The sequence below is a fragment of the Homo sapiens genome, chromosome 17 (assembly GCF_000001405.40).
Source record: "Homo sapiens chromosome 17, GRCh38.p14 Primary Assembly".
Classification (NCBI taxonomy): domain Eukaryota; kingdom Metazoa; phylum Chordata; class Mammalia; order Primates; family Hominidae; genus Homo; species Homo sapiens.
Genome location: NC_000017.11, coordinates 9,876,038 through 9,892,258, shown reverse-complemented (window position 1 = coordinate 9,892,258; position 16,221 = coordinate 9,876,038). Strand labels below are relative to the sequence as shown.

The 16,221-nt window shown below is 44.0% G+C and overlaps 1 protein-coding gene across 5 annotated transcripts in view; it reads right to left on the bottom strand.

Moving 5' to 3' along the window:
• Positions 1-159: 159 nt before the first annotated feature.
• Positions 160-16,221, bottom strand: part of GLP2R (glucagon like peptide 2 receptor) — a 66,176-nt gene continuing 50,114 nt past the window's right edge. For all 5 annotated transcript variants that reach the window (XM_011524077.4, XM_017025339.2, NM_004246.3 and 2 more), the window contains 3 exons: positions 11,743-11,881; positions 4,286-4,327; positions 160-2,889 (listed from right to left, as the gene is read on the bottom strand). In XM_011524077.4, the coding sequence (XP_011522379.1) occupies positions 2,554-2,889; positions 4,286-4,327; positions 11,743-11,881 (517 nt within the window). In that variant the 3' untranslated portion in view covers positions 160-2,553. The remainder of the gene's footprint in view (positions 2,890-4,285; positions 4,328-11,742; positions 11,882-16,221) is intronic.

Below are 16,221 nucleotides of genomic sequence, written 5' to 3'. Positions count from 1 at the left end.
CAAATTTAAGATATTGGAGCACCCAGGTCCCTGGCTAAACGCCACAGCCCTTTTCCTCACTTCTGGCCAGGAATAGTGCATCGCATTCTTCATGGGTGGGAGAGACCTTCAGCTCCAGTGAGAGACAAATGTAAAAGAATCAACAAAATGCAAATGAAATTAAATAAACTTGTTTTAATCATTAGCAGAACAAGAGCAAGCAGTAAGTGTTGATCACCCCATTTGTGGAGTGAGGGGTGGAGGGAGTATTTATAAATGCTTTGAAAAAAAGTTTCTCCTCTTAGCGGTAAGGTCCTGGATCACTTACTCCCAGCAGCATCCGAGGCTCCCGAGAGCCATTTCTGTGCTGTCTCATTCCAGGAATGTGTGTGGAGCACCTGCTCTGAACCGGCACTGTGCTGGGTACTTGCTGGGAATACGAGATGACCCCAGCTTTCTAGGAGCTAATTGGCTGATGAGCCGAGGCAGGGACATTTGCAGAAAGGAGAAAAATAGAAAGACATAGATTTTCATGACTGAGCTATGGATAATCTGGACACCAAAAAATAAACCTTTGCTTCATTACTTGCCTGATGCCTTTGCCTCCATCCCCATCCTAAAACCAGGGCTGGACTATGGGGTGACACAAGTGGGGATCCCATTTCAAGTGCAAAATTTAAGGGGGCCCCAAAAGTCCCCATAGTCAATATAAATAACATTTTAATGCAATTGTCTAAAAATAAAAATTCACATTAAAAGTCCCTCATAGACAACATTTGAAAGTCAGGACCAGAGCCTGCACTTGCAAGAGCTGGCCTCTCCTGCCTCACCCTTATCCTGCCCCTGGCTCCAATCAAATTTCATTTCTATAAATGGCTCATGGGCTGTAGTTTGTTAATTTGTTTTTTTAGAATATTGCATTAAAATATGATTTATTTTGATCATTTACTTTGAGCTTTTTAGAGATGAGTGCCTTGATTATTTCACCCTAGTCCCAGCCCTGTGGCAAAGTATCCTTGAAAACAGAGATGCCAGTAAAAGACAAGATGCATGATTGAATTCCAATCTCAGATTAAATATGCCCATGGGATATACTTATACAAGAAGACTATTTGTCTGAAATTCAAATTTAATTGAGTACCTTGTTTTTGTTTGCTAAATATGGCAGCCCTGCTTGAGGAGTATCAAACTGACTCCCCCGAAGACAAGGTGGTATTTAGTCCCATAGCAACATACCCCACCCACGTACACATGCATTTTACATACCATGAAAGTGACACTCCTGTGCATTAACACACTGTTTCCAAAGGATGTCCATCCCTTGATCTTCCTACAGCCTCTTGCCCTATACTTTCAGTCATTGAGCCTGACCCCAACTGCCTGGGCCCTCCTCAGCCTCCATGGGTCACAGTAGGCAGGAAAGATCCCACAGGCTGGTGGATGCAAAGTCTTGGATCTCTCAGAGCCACCCTGGGCATGTCCAGATCCAGCCAAACTCCTATTGCTTTACCTGGGCCCTCCTGCTTTCAGTATTTATTCCCACTGGGCAAATTGAATTCTGATCAGCAGGGACTCTGGCCATGGAGAGTTATAGGTCAACTTCCTGGGACAACAGGTGTGACAATCAATGCATCAATGGCAAACCAAAAATGGTGGGGACATTCCTTGCCCCAAGAGAATGGTAGTGTAAATCAGGCTGGTAGAAGCCAAACTCAGAAAGGTAGATAGAGCCAGAAAGGAGAGGAACAGACCAAAGACGACATTCAGAGGGTCCCCAGGCACTGGGGCCAATCCTCAAAGGGAGGATCAAGCAGAACTCCTGCTGTGCAGGGACAGAGAACTGAGGCAAAGAGAGAGAGAGGCAAGACTTGATAGGAGAGGAAGAGCAGAGAGGAGTGGCACTCTGGTGGGTGGAGTTACATACTCTCCAAGGAGGGCAGGCACACCCCAGCTGACCTGGGAGAGCAGACTGTCTCTTGCAGCATCCTGCCATGGCCACATGGGGGCGCTTCTAGCTCCCTCTCACCCTGCCCAGTGTTCTCCAAGGGTGGGCTTGCAGCAGAATTACCTGGGATGCTTATTAAACAGCTCCAATTCCTGGCCATGGTCCCAGACTCACTGTCTTAGAATCTTAGCCACAAGTCTAGGATTCTGCATTTTAAAAGCTTCCTAGGAGGTTTTCACGCACCCTAAACCCAACCTCAGATGGAAAGCATGCACCCCAAGGGATAAAGGAAGAGATATTGGCTGGCTTCTCTATAACAGGAGACCTCTCTTCATGGTGGGACTTCATTGGCTTGAATTTAGAGCCAGGCCCTAGGGTCTGGTGGGCATTGTGGAAAACACACTGGTGGGGGTTATTAGGATGAGAAGAGCAGGCAGAGGCTGTGAGCATGACACACAGCCTCTTTCATACAGAGCTTGAAGAACCTTGTGATAGCTTTCATATCAAAGTGGCATGGTGAATGGAACGAGAATGATTCCGTGCCCAGCAACGTGTGTCCTGCTTTGCTTCCTCTTCCTGGGCCCCCTCAAGAGTCCCTGGGAGCAGAGCCAGGGTGGTGGAACTCCACCCTAGATCTCACTCTCTTCCAGAATCTCCTCCATGGTGTTGGCCATGGTGACATCCCCCTCACTGCACTCGGACAGGCTGCTGCCCCGGGGCCAGCGTGCATGGTCCTGTTGGGGCTGGGCGCCCAGCTCCCCAAGACCTCGCATGGCTAGATGTAGGAGCCGCCCACTGTTAAGTGAGGGCTGCAGCTTCCGAAGCTTCTCAGCGCCATCTCCTTCCGAGAGCTTCTTGGGACATTTTCCTAGGAACCGGAAGTCCTTCCCCAGGACACAGGCTCTGCAGCCTGAGTGGCGGGCTAGCAAGAAGCGGACCCAGTATTTCCGCAGCTCAGCCTTCACCTGCCGGGTGAGACAAGTGAGAGGTTACTGTCTTGGAGTCATTTAGCCATGTGTCCATTTAGCAAATATTAATTGAGTAGCTACTCTGTGCCACCCTTGGGAAATTTACCTTTTAACTGGGGGAGACAAGGAGAAACAAAGATACATAAACATGTCTGGTGGTGATGACACTGTGAGAGTACTAAGCAGGACAATACGGTAAAGAAACAAAAACTTAAGACAGGGTGTTCAGGAAAGGACTCTGCCGGGGTGGCATGTGAGCTGAAACCTGCTTGATAGGTGAGGAGCCCCCTGCATGAAGATACAGAAGAAGCAGCAGTGAGCAAAACAGAAGATGGTTTTGCTGTCAAGAAGCTTACATAGAATGTGAGCTATGTACATTCTATGTAAGTGGAAGTACATAATGGGAGGAGACAGAAATAAATATTTACACTTGTAGTAGGGCGAGAGGAGGTTGAAAAGGGGTTGGAAACTCTACCAACTCCTAAAGACAGGAGAAAACACCTGTTCTGGCCTCTGCCCCTCCCACTGTCAAATCTTTTCCCAGGGAAGCAGAGAGCTGGTTGGGCTATGCAATAATATGAATAACTAAAAGCAATAATAGGCCAGGCTTCATGGTTCATGCCTGTAATCCCAGCACTCTGGGAGGCTGAAGCAGGTGGATTACTTGAGATCAGGAGTTTGAGACCAGCCTGGCCAACATGGTGAAACCCCATCTCTACTAAAAATATAAAAATTAGCTGAGTGTGGTGGTGGGCACCTGTAATCCCAGCTACTCAGGAGGCTGAGGCATGAGAATCGCTTGAATCTGGGAGGCAGAGGTTGCAGTGAGCTGGTATCATGCCACTGCATTCCAGCCTGGGCAACAGAGTGAGACTCTGTCTCAAAAAAATAAAAATAATTTTTAAAAAAATGTAATCATAGTTCCCAGGTGTTGAGCATTTATTTGCTATGTGCTCAGCATACCCAGAGCAAGACTACAAAGCAGGGATGATTGTTGCTCCCATGTTACTGATGAGGAAAGTGAGGCTAAACAAAGTGCGGTGACCCAGCTAACTCACAGAACTCCTGAGGGTGAACCAAGGCGTGAATTCAGATTTTTGGACTCTGAGGTTCAAGCTTGTTTCCTCTGTCACATTTGAATACTCCTTGCATCTCCAGCAGAGCCAGTGCTGGCTTCTGAACTCCCTTATACCCATCCCGACACCTTTTTTCCATTTGTCTAAGCTGCCTCCTGCTCTCTGTACCGGAAGCTCACAATACAAATTTGTCCCCACACATGCTGGTCACTGCACATTCTCCCGTAGCATCATCCCATCCACAGAAACCTCCAGAGGTGGGTAGGGTTGCAGTCCCAACCTCACATGAAACCAGGATGGCAACGTGGAAATCATACCTCTCCATTGGCAAAACCATACTGCAAGGCCACCAGGAACCCCTGAAACAAAAGGAGGACATGGCATAAAATCTGACTCCGGAGAAGATGTGTCTGAGAGTTACTGGCAACGTCCAAAGCCCTGCACAGGTCGTAAGGAGTCTCCAGAAGAGGCGTGCAACTGCATTGCTTACACTAACTAGAATTAGTCATACTGGTTACATTAACTTGGATTTCCATGGCATCTGTTCTTACTTTGACATCCAGCGCCCCGCCCGCCCTGCTCCGCCTATATCAGCCTAGGTGTTTGCTTAGATTGTTCACAGGTGCACATGGGTCAATGATGATTAAACCCCCAAGACCTTGTGTCATTCATTCAATTATACAAATATTGGGCAAGGTCACTGTTGCATCTCTACTTGGTCATAGTGGGCACTGGCTAATGTTTGTTTATTTGTTTGTTTGTTAGAGATGGAGTTTCACTCTTGTCGCCAGGCTAGAGTGCAGTGGCTCAACCTCGGCTCACTGCAACCTCCGCCTCCCGAGTTCAAGCATTCTCCTGTCTCAGCCTCCCAAGTAGCTGGAATTACAGGCGGACGCCACCACGCCCGACTAATTTTTTGTATTTTTAGTACAGACGGGGTTTCACCATGTTGGGCAGGCTGGTCTCAAACTCCTGACCTCAGGTGACCCGCCTGCCTTGGCTCCCAAAGTACAGGGATTACAGGCATGAGCCACTGTGCCTGGTCCTTTTTTTTTTTTCTTTGCCTGACTTGCATCCTTTCCTTTTGGCCCCTGACCCTCCCTACTCTCTGAGCTTCTGGCAGGGCTGTCAGTCATGTGGTTCCCATGTTCCAGGATGACCATCGCCACAATACTCAGCCCAAAATGGGCTGGAATCTAAGGTGCTCCAGTTAATGCTTGTTTCCATTGTCTTTCTCAGGCTCCTACATATCCTGATTTGTCAGATAGTCACTGTGATCACCTACATGTCCTGGCTGTCCCTAATTGATGTAAGGGTCTGTGGAATTTGGGCAGTGTGTCTGATATATTGGAACTGGATGTGTGTGCAGGGCCCAATGCTTGCATGTTTATAGAAAATGCCAGAACTCACAAGGAAAGGATGCATTTCCAACTAAAGAGTGAAGGTCCCAGTGGCAGGCTGACTCCTCTTATATCTCTTGATGATAATGAAATGTGGCACTGGGGAAGGCTTTTCTGCTCTTCCTTATGTAAGCCTTGTTCAGCATGTCCCTTCTGGAGCCAGACCAGGATCTCCACACTGGCAATCACGACATCAACCAAATGCTTGGATTCTGCCCATGAATGTGGAATTTTCCTTCTCTTATGCACCTAGATATTCCATGGCTATAGCTTCCATAACAGGGGCATACTGTTATCACTTAATCATTTTCACACATGCAATCTGGTCAGAGGTTCACAGCTGCCCTATGCGGTTGGCGGGACAGGTAATATTTGCCTCTGGGCACATGATATCAGAAGAGCTGGCTTTTAGGGTGCCAGGATTCTCACAAACAAGTTGGCTAAAATAGGATTCCACATGACAAATGTGTCTTTTTCACTTCCTCGGGTGCTTGCTTCACAGTTTTAGGAACATCCTAGGGTCTGGTTCTCATTCTAGATTAAGCAAGTGTGAAGGGAGTGGGTCCCACAGAACACATGGCTCTTACTTCATATGTCACCGCTGTTTGGCAGTCTCTCCAAAGCTCCACTGATAGCAGGAGGCTGGTGGAACTCTCTAAGCAGTAGGCTCTTGGAAGAGTAAAGGACCCTCCAAAGCAGCAAGGAAAGGAAGCTGTTAGGGCTGATGCCTGTTCTTGCCAATTCCCATGGTGGAGTCTCTAAAATGATCCACCAAGTGTAGTTCCCCCAACATCTGCCCACCTGTGCTCTTGCCTCTGCCTGGTGGGATGCAGAGAAACACGGCAGGAGTATTCCGAAGGTGGGAGTCCTCTGCCCACACACAAGCCCTCTAAGTGTGTTTTCTGGCTCAGTCCTGGTACAAAACACCCTGCAGAGTCACTTTGATTCCTCACGTTCCTCAGCAGTACAGGGTGATGAGCAGAGCTCTAGCTGGCTTCAGGAACAAATCTTCCATGCTGGTAGCTAGTCTCCAGAGATGGCCTTGATGGTTCCTCTACTTTCTGTGGGCTCAGGCTGCTCTTCGCATCAAAAAGTGGACCTAGTTTTTCTCTCCCCTCGAATCTAGGATGACTTTGTGACTCCTTTTTTTACTGATACAATGTCGTAAAAGTGACATTCTGGGAGTTCTATGCCTATGACTTAAGAGGGCTGGAAGTTTCTACTTCCTCCATCTTAGAGGAAGTAAGATGGAGGAAGGTCCTGAGAGTCCAGCCGCCATGCTGTGAGATATCCAAGATACATGGAGAGGCCACATGGAGGAGAACTGAGGCCCCCTGAGCTATATAGTCTTAGCTGAGGTCCTGTCCAACAGCTAGCGTCAATGTCTAGTTATGTGAATGAACCATCTTGGATGTGCCACTCCAATTGGGCCTTCAGACGTTTGCAGCCCCAGCCGAAAATCACATGTATCAAAAGAACTATCTACCCTGAGCCCAAGCAGCCCAGTCTACTGAATCATTAAAAATATTAAAATGAGGCCGTGTGTGGTGGCTCATGCTTGCAATCCCAGCTACTCGGGAGGCTGAGGCAGGAGAATGGCTTGAACCTGGGAGGTGGAGGTTGCGGTGAGCCGAGATAACACCATTGCACTCCAGCCTGGGCAACAAGAGCAAAACTCCATCTCAAAATGATAATGATAATGGTAATAATAATAATAATAATAATAATAATAATAATAATAAAATGGTTACTATTTTAAGCCATGAAGTTTTGGCATGGTTTATTACACAGAATCAGATGACCAACACATCCTCCCAAGGCAGAAGAGTCTGATAGTCTAGGATTCTTTCTCAGAAATCTGCCTCACATAGCTCCACATGAATTACTTGTCTTTACCGGGCCTTGGGTGAGTGAGATCAGGTGATCAAGGGCTCACATTGCCTGACCCATGCCTTCCGGAGAAAAAAGGCCACCAAATATTACTACATAACAGCTGCAGAGTTTTTTTTCCCCCTCTAATTTAGGACTACCTTTTAAAGAAGATTACGGCCAGGAACACAAAAATTCCAAATTACTAAACCTTATCTTTTGAAATTCCCTAAAAGACTGAAATAAACATGTTTTCATAATGGGAAAAAAATTGCTTATGGATCCTCTGTCTTGGTTCAAAGCCACAAAGAATTCAACTCCAACAGGAGGGAAAAAAATATTGTCCAACTGCTCATACCACACTTCAGGCTCTGGCTCCTCGGCCTTTGGTGAGCATGCAGTGGGCGGACACATTTTCTCTGCTCTGTGTACGAAATCTCAGCACTTGACCCTGTCTGGTATATTGCTCCAATATATCAGACAGCACTTGACCTTTAAGACTGGTATAGGGAACTTGGTGTCTCCTGGTTCTAATCTTCACAAGGCACCTGAGAGGCACTATGGCATAGTGGTTACAGGCAGGGGCTTAACCTCTGAATAAAAACCTCATCTCTGATACATGTTAGCATGTGAAAGTCCTCTGAGCCTCAGTTCTTTCATCTTTAAAATAGGTATAATAATTTATCCTTCATAGGGATATTTTGTGAATCCCATGAGGCTGAAATTATTCCATGTTAAACAGATACTTTCCAGTGTACCATTTTAATTCCTTTGCTAGTATTTTAAATACATTTTTTAAAGTTATTTTCTTAGTGTTTATTCCAGGGATTACAACATGCATCTTAACACAATCTATTTCATATTAACACTAACTTAAGCCTGGTAAAATATAAAAATGTTCTCCTATATATCTCTATTTACTCATTCTTCTCCTGTGATATTCTTGTCATATATATTAGATCTTTATATGTTATAAGCCCAAAAATACAATGTATAGTTATTATTTTATACAATCTTGTATTTTTAAAATCAGTTATGAGAAAAAAAACCTACACATAGCCTTTCAGATTTACCTGTGTATCTACCTTTTCCACTGTTTTTTATTTCTTCATGTGGATTTGAGTTGCTGTCTGTTGTCGTTTTCTTCCAGCATGAAGGACATCCTTTGATATTTCTTGAAAGGGGTGTTTGCCAATAATGATTTCTCTCAGTCTTTGTTTTTATGATAATGTCTTTATTTCACCTTTATCTTGAAACATACTTTTGCTGGATTTAGAATTCTTGATTGACAATTGTTTTCTTTCAGCATTCTGAATATTTTATACCACTGCCTCCTGGCCTCCATTGTTCTGATGAGTAGTCAGCTGTTAATTGTATCATTGGTCCCTACATGTAATGAACAATTTTTCTCTTGTTGCTTTCAATATTTTCTCTTCATTTTTGGCTTTCAACTGTTTGACTGTAATGTTTCCAGGCATGAATTTCTTTGTTTTATGCTTTTTGGAGTTCATCAAGCTTCCTGGATGTGTAGATTAACATTTTTCTTCAAATTTGGAAAATTTTCAACCATTATTTATCCAAATATTTATTCTACCATTTCTATCTTTACTCTCCTTCTGGGACTCTCCTATGTGTATGTTAGTATGCTTGATGGCATTCCACAGGTCTCTGAAGCTCTATTATTTTTCTTCATTCTTTTTTCTTTCTTTTCCACAGACTGGGTAATCTCATTGACCTATCTTCAAGCTCACAGGTTATTTATTCTGCAATCTTAAATCTAAGCTTTCCTAATAAAATTTTCATATCAGTTATTGTAGTGTTCAACTCCAGAATTTCCATTTGGTTCTTATTTTATAATTGTTCTCTATTGAATTGAGATAATTGAATTCCTTTAATTATTTCAACAACTTTTTCTTTAAATCTCTGAACATGTTTATAATAGCTTTGAAGTCTTTGTCTGATAAGTCCAACATCTAGACATCCCCTATCCCACCCAGAAAGTTTCTAATGACTGCTTTTTTTTTTTTTTTGTCCTGAGTATGGGTCACACTTTTTTGTTTCTTTGCAGATCTCATATTTTTGGAAAAAACTGGAAGTTTTAGATAATATATTATAACAACTCAGGATTCTGATTCCCCAGTCCCCATCCCTGGAGTGGTGGTGGTGGTTTGTTTAGAAAATTGTCTGGACTACTAGTTATGTGGAATCTGTCTCTGCTGTGGTATATGGCCAGTGATGTCTCTGCTCATTTAAAAAATTTTGGTTTTTATTTTTAAATCTGGTCATCTGATGCTGTTTCCAATAGCTTAATAATCAGCCAATGATTGATCAGAAGTTGTTTTCAAACACCTCAAGCCCATAAGACTTCCATACCCTTTGCCAATGGATCCATATGTCACTTGGGGAACACATTCAAAGTTCAGTTTGAAGCCTTCCCTGGCTTTTACTTTCCACCAGACCCCCTCATGTTTCCTCTGTATGTGTGCAGAAACTCACATTCAGCCAGAAATGTGTGAATGTCCTTTCTGGTCCTTCTTGAGTGTGTATGCAACCTTATGCATGTACACAACCTTCCAGTCAACCTGAGAAATATGTGGGGGCTTGTCAAGGCCCACTGTGGCTGTCTCATTCCCCAAATCTTCCCGTAAAATTTCTGGCTAGCCCATCAGCATGTTTTTTCACCCCAGATAGAATGATAACTTCAGGCTGTAACACTGTCCTTCCCTGTTTCTTTGTCACCAAGACGGCCACTGTATCTGGCAATGCCCAAGGATGAGAGTTTTTCTGCTCTTTGATCCAAATCAAGTCAGCCTCCCTCTTCAGTGAAGCTGCTAGTTTTCACTAGAATTTCCTCACTGGTGGAGCAGGGATTAGAGAACAAAAGCAGTCCCAGACAAAAGTAACATAGACTCCCACTGTTATTACTGAATTTCAGTAATTTTTCTTGACTGAATCCTTCTCATTTCTTTTTTTTTTTTTTTTTAGTTAATGTGTATGGTCCCAAAATGGTTGCTATTGACAATTGTCCAATTTTATCATTGCCTTTTGGGGAGAGCTTTTGTAGATCCTCTCTTTATCATCTCAGAAGTCCTGCCCCCACACCAACATTTAAAGATGATTCATTTTCAGATAACTACTCTATGAAGACCTGCGCTGCTGTGCTGTTAGTGGTAATCTGTTGCATTAGTGGCCTTCACTAATGAGCTGCCCCTCCCAGCATTCATGCCTTTGTGCAGTGCCCTACTCTTTCAATCTAGGCTGGGTCTGTGACTTGCTTTAAATGACAGAATGCAGCAGAAGCATCACTGTGCCAGTTCCAGGCATAGGCATTTAAAAGGCCTGGCAGGGGAGCGGTGGCTCACGCCTGTAATCCCAGCACTTTGGGAGGCCGAGGCGGGCGGATCACGAGGTCAGGAGATCGAGACCATCCCGGCTAAAACGGTGAAACCCCGTCTCTACTAAAAATACAAAAAATTAGCCGGGCGTAGTGGCGGGCGCCTGTAGTCCCAGCTACTTGGGAGGCTGAGGCAGGAGAATGGCGTGAACCCGGGAGGCGGAGCTTGCAGTGAGCCGAGATCCCGCCACTGCACTCCAGCCTGGGCGACAGAGCGAGACTCCGTCTCAAAAAAAAAAAAAAAAAAAAGGCCTGACAGCTCCTGCTTTTATACTCTTGGGAGCCCTGAACTGCCCTATCCTGTGGAGAGACCACAAGGAGAAAACACATGGAACGCCTAAGGAATGTCATGGACACTGAGAAATGAGGCCTCAGAAATTTGACCCAAATAAGACTAGCCTCAGCTATTTGAGCCATCCAACTTAGGCACCAGTCATGTGAGTGAAGAAGACATCTTGGTAGTTCCAGCCCCAGGAGGCATCACAGAAGCAAAGGTTAGCCATCCCTACTAGGTCCTACCTAGATTCCTAACTCCCAGAATCATGAAAAATAATTTTAAAAATTGCCATCTTAAGACACTAAGAAATAGATAATAATTTAAGCAATAGATGACCAAAATATTTCCAGGTAACAACCACAGCTAGCCTCTTGTTCCTAGTTTCAACTCCCACACATCTGTCAAGGTTCAATAGCCTCCTGGTCTGAACTCATTAGTCCCTATCCAATTTGTGTTGCATTCTGTGTACATGTCACCTGAAGCACAGACAATGTTTACTTTGCACAATGCTCTGCAGAGAACCCAGCAAAAATAGGCACTTAATAAAAGGCTTCACATTGACACTCATAGTTAATATGATCATGAGTCACACCAACTATTACCACCCAGGAAAGAGACCATTTCCCCCTTCTTAGTCACTGAATCATGCTGGCAGGATCAACGCAATACTTCCCCGTCTGCATGCCCTTCTAATGCCAAGGGCCCTTACTGATAAAGGCTGCTGATGCTACAATTCTATTTTCATCCACGGGCTCCTTAATTCTGAGCCTGTTTCGGCCACATGCATTTTGTTTTCTCCAAAGTCAAGGCATTTTGGTTCAGATTTCTACTTACATGAAAGGAGCTCAGTGTCAACTGAATGAAAAGTCGTATAAGTTTTGCAAATCCTTCAACTTGATCATCAGTGATGAAAGAGAAGAGGATCTCATGAACGCCCAATAAAGGAATGAGGACCAGTGTTGATTTTGCCAATCTGTAAATGACAACCAAATAACAGTCAAGAGGGCCACATGGGGAACAAGCAACATTTCCTGCTCTTCCATGCCATGACTTTGTTGCAGCTCTTACCATATTGATAGTTGTTTCCCAGATGGTCTCCTTCACTACAACATTTAACGCTTCAGGGCCATTGTGGTCTTGTTTACTGTTGTGTTCCTACACTTGACGCATGGGGAATGCTCAGAAAACATGAATTGAATGAATGAATGCATAAATTCCCCTGTATAGATTGTCATATGTCTGTAGCTCTTAAAGTTTTGCCTGATGGATAGATTTCCATGCAAGTGACTGCCACCCTGGGACACTCCACCCCTACCAGGTTTGTTAAATTTCCTATCATGTGGTTAGCAGTTTCATCTATCTCTTTCTTTACTCCGGACTTTCAACATCAGTATTTCCAGTGTTACCATGAGAAGGGAGAGAAAATGAGTTGCCCAGGGTCATACAGACACTAAGTAGTAAACCTCGGGCTGGATGTGGGGGCATCTGACCTGCAGTTCCGACCTGCAGACTCCTTTCTGGACTTCGCTGTCAGCCCTCATGTTGCCCCTTAACCCTGGTGATAGTGAGGGCTGCAGGAAATGAAAAACTGATCCTCCTCATAAAAAGTGCGGCGTGGAGGTTCACTGTTGTATATAGACTACACAAAAAAGACAAACATTCCTTGTGCCACCCACGTGTAAAGTGCACAGCTGGGACCCAAATGTTGCATACTGGTGGTTCCCAAACGTGGCTGACTATTAAAATTCCTTACAGAGCTCTTAAAATATATACATATAGTTTCCTGGGCCTCAGTATCAACTCCCTGAATCCACACCTCTGGAGGTTGGGTCCCAGGAAGTTAATTTTTTTTAAGAGACAGGATCTCCCTCTGTCACCCATGCTGGAGTACAGTAGCACGATTCTAGCTCACTGCAGCCTTGAACTCCTGGGCTCAAGCAATCCTCCTGCTTCGGACTCCAGAGAAGCTGGGACTATAGGTGTGCACAACTGTGCCTGGATAATTATTTTATTTTATTTTATTTTATTTTATTTTATTTTATTTTATTTTATTTTATTTATTTTATTTTATTTTATTTTATTTTATTTTATTTTATAGAGAGGGGATCTTATGTTGTTGCCCAGGCTGGTCTCAAACTCCTAGCCTCAAGTGATATACTACTCCTGCCTCAGTCTCCCGAAGTGTTGGGATTACAGGTGCAAACCACTGCACCTGGCTGGATGTGGACTTTTTAAGGAACTCCTCATGGATCCTGAGAAGTATACAGGTTTGGAAATAACTGCCCTTTACTGTTGAGCTGCTTCTTAATTTAAAACTAACTACATTAGCAGAGATGACTCATATTCGGGGTACGAACAAAGCTACTGTCTTACCCACATTGGGAAAGAGGAGCGTAATTGTAATGATTTTTTTTTTAGCTTAGGTCACTTCTTCTAAAGGGGCCAGACTAGGAGGAACTTCCCCTCAGATCCCATGGAATTAAAGGTGTAGAAAAACAGGGTGGCATTCGCAGTTCATGGGGGAGTTTCTTAAGGAAGGTTTAACTCTGTACGAGAACAAGAGCTTACTATGAATCCTATGTCTGCAAGGGCCATTCAGATGCAATGTTATCAATGAAATAAACAACCTCACCTTTGTGCCCCCAAAGGATCTAAAGCCAAGAAGAGGGGTGCAGGAGCCACCAGGACGGAGGGACTCCACCTGGCCATGTGATTGTGTGAACCAGAGCCTTGACTGTCAGGAAAGGCTGATGAGCAGACAGATGGAATCATGGGCCTTGGCTGTGTGGTTCTCTTGAGCTGAGCTCAGATCGACTCCCACTCCAACACCCACCCCTACAGAAGTCATTTCGCTAGGCAACATTAATATGCTCCTAATGAGAGAACATTTCAAGGGTTTTGTATTTCCAGGAGTGTTTTTAAAGCCCTCTGGCCCAGAGGTTACAAAGTGGTGACCATGGATAGTAACTGACCTGCAGACAACTTTTGCTTAGGCCACGGAGCAATTTTTGTTATTGGAGTCATCTTTAAATAATAATATTTCTAGAAAAAGTGTCCAGGTTTCTGGCTTCTTTTGAAAAATGAGGAGATCTGGCAACACTGGGCTCAAATTCTTGCATGGCAATCGTTGGTTACAGCTGGGCAATGGCTGTCCCTTTAGAAGGAAGCTGTGACATCCAGCCCCCACCCGGCTTGTACTACTCAATTGTGTTACTTGCTTGGCCCTTGTAAGAGTCTGAATTTGTGACCCTTGCTCTGGGTGGGCTGGGTTTTCAAGATACAGACTTATATGCCTACAAGCAGACCTGTGTCTTGTCAGCTTATTCTGATGCCATGTTATGGTGTTATGGTTTTTTAAAACAAACTTTTAATTTTGGAATAATTTTAGATTTACAGAAAATTAGCTAAGGCAGTACAGAGAGTTCCCATGTCTCTTCACTCAGTTTTCCCTAACGTTTTTTTTTTTTTTTTTTTGAGACGGAGTCTCGTTCTGTCGCCCAGGCTGGAGTGCAGTGGCGGGATCTCGGCTCACTGCAACCTCCGCCTTCCGGGTTCATGCCATTCTCCTGCCTCAGCTTCCCGAGTACCTGGGAATACAGGCGCCCGCCACTGTGCCCAGCTAATTTTTTGTATTTTTAGTAGAGACGGGATTTCACCGTGGTCTCGATCTCCTGACCTTGTGATCCGCCCGCCTCGGCCTCCCAAAGTGCTGGGATTACAGGTTTGAGCCACCGCCCCCGGCATAGTTTCCCCTAATGTTAGCATACTACATAACCATGCCCGTTTGTCAAAACTAAGAAACCAACACGGTATATTACTAGGAACTAAAGTTCGGGGTTTATGTGGATTTCCCGCTAATGTCCTTTTCCTGTTCCCTGATCCCACATTTCGTTTAGTACAGAATGATCTATAAAGAATAACAATTTTTTAATAAAGTTTTGGGCTACTCACCCTTCTGGATGGAGACATGAAGGGATTGTCTACCCTTCACCTTATTCTAACTTCTCCTTAGACGAAGTACTATTTGTGTCCCTGTCCAGATGAAAATCCATAAATAGCAATAGCAGTTTACTCTTACAGACTGTGTTTATGCTCATTTTCATCCATAACCTTTTGTTTATTTAAATGGTTCCATTTATTGCAATCATTTAACTATCCAACAAATATTTATTGAGCATCTGCTTATGGCACATGAGTGAATATAGTGGGAAAGAAGGAGTTGTAGTCAAAGGCAGCAGGACACAGGAAGAGTATCTGGGCCTGAGTTCAAATCTCAGTGTTGCCAATTATTAGTGCTATGACTGTGGGCAAATTATTTAACCTCTCTCTCTGTTAGTTTCCTCATCTGTAAAAGGAGTATTATAATAGTAATAGCATCTACCTGACAGGGCTGTCACAAGGATTAAACAAATAACATGGGGTAAACCCTCAGAAAAAATGGTATCTGACACACGATAAATGATCAATACATTTTAGTTATTACTATTTTTAAAGAAGCCATCCCTGCCTTTCGGTTGCTTATAACTCAATTTTTTAAACGAATTTTCCTTGAATTTGTAACATTTTTAGTCTTTGGTTGCTGATGTGGTTCAGAACGTGGTACTCCAAAATATGGCACCTTGACATACTGAGTATTTTAAGCTGAAAGAATTTGAGAAAATCACAGAAGCAGGAAGGTCTCTCTAACCTCCCGCCCTTCTCCCCTGAAACAGGTCATGAAACCTAGGAAGGATTTTCTGACCTTCTCCTGAAGCGGATCACAAGACCCTCATGTGAGAGGTGGAGGAAAGGAACGTCCTTATTTCTGAAGACACAATGACACAAGAATCTGTACAAACAGGCTTTGCCAAATTTCCCCCAGTTTATAACCATTAGATCTCCTTTGTTCAATCATACTTCCCCCATGACTGTCCACTGTGCATTAAACCTAGCATAAAAATACACAAGTTTGACCATTTCTTTGGGTCTTCCTTTCCTTATGAAGTCTCCTACGTCATATAAGACTTATGAAATAAACTTGGATGCTTTTTCTCCTGTTAATCTGTCTTTGTCTAATTTTTAGACCCAGCCAGGGACCCTAAGAGGGTTAAGGAAAAGCTTTTGTTTCCTACATTGCCTATCAGAAAGTCCTTTCAGAAAGAACTGGGGTTTAGCATGTTAAGAAATGCTTGTCGGGCCGGGCGCAGTGGCTCACACCTATAATCCCAGCACTTTGGGAGGCCGAGGTGGGCGAATCACCCGAGGTTGGGAGTTGGAGACCAGCCTGACCAACATGGAGAAACTCCGTCTCTACTAAAAATACAAAATTAACCG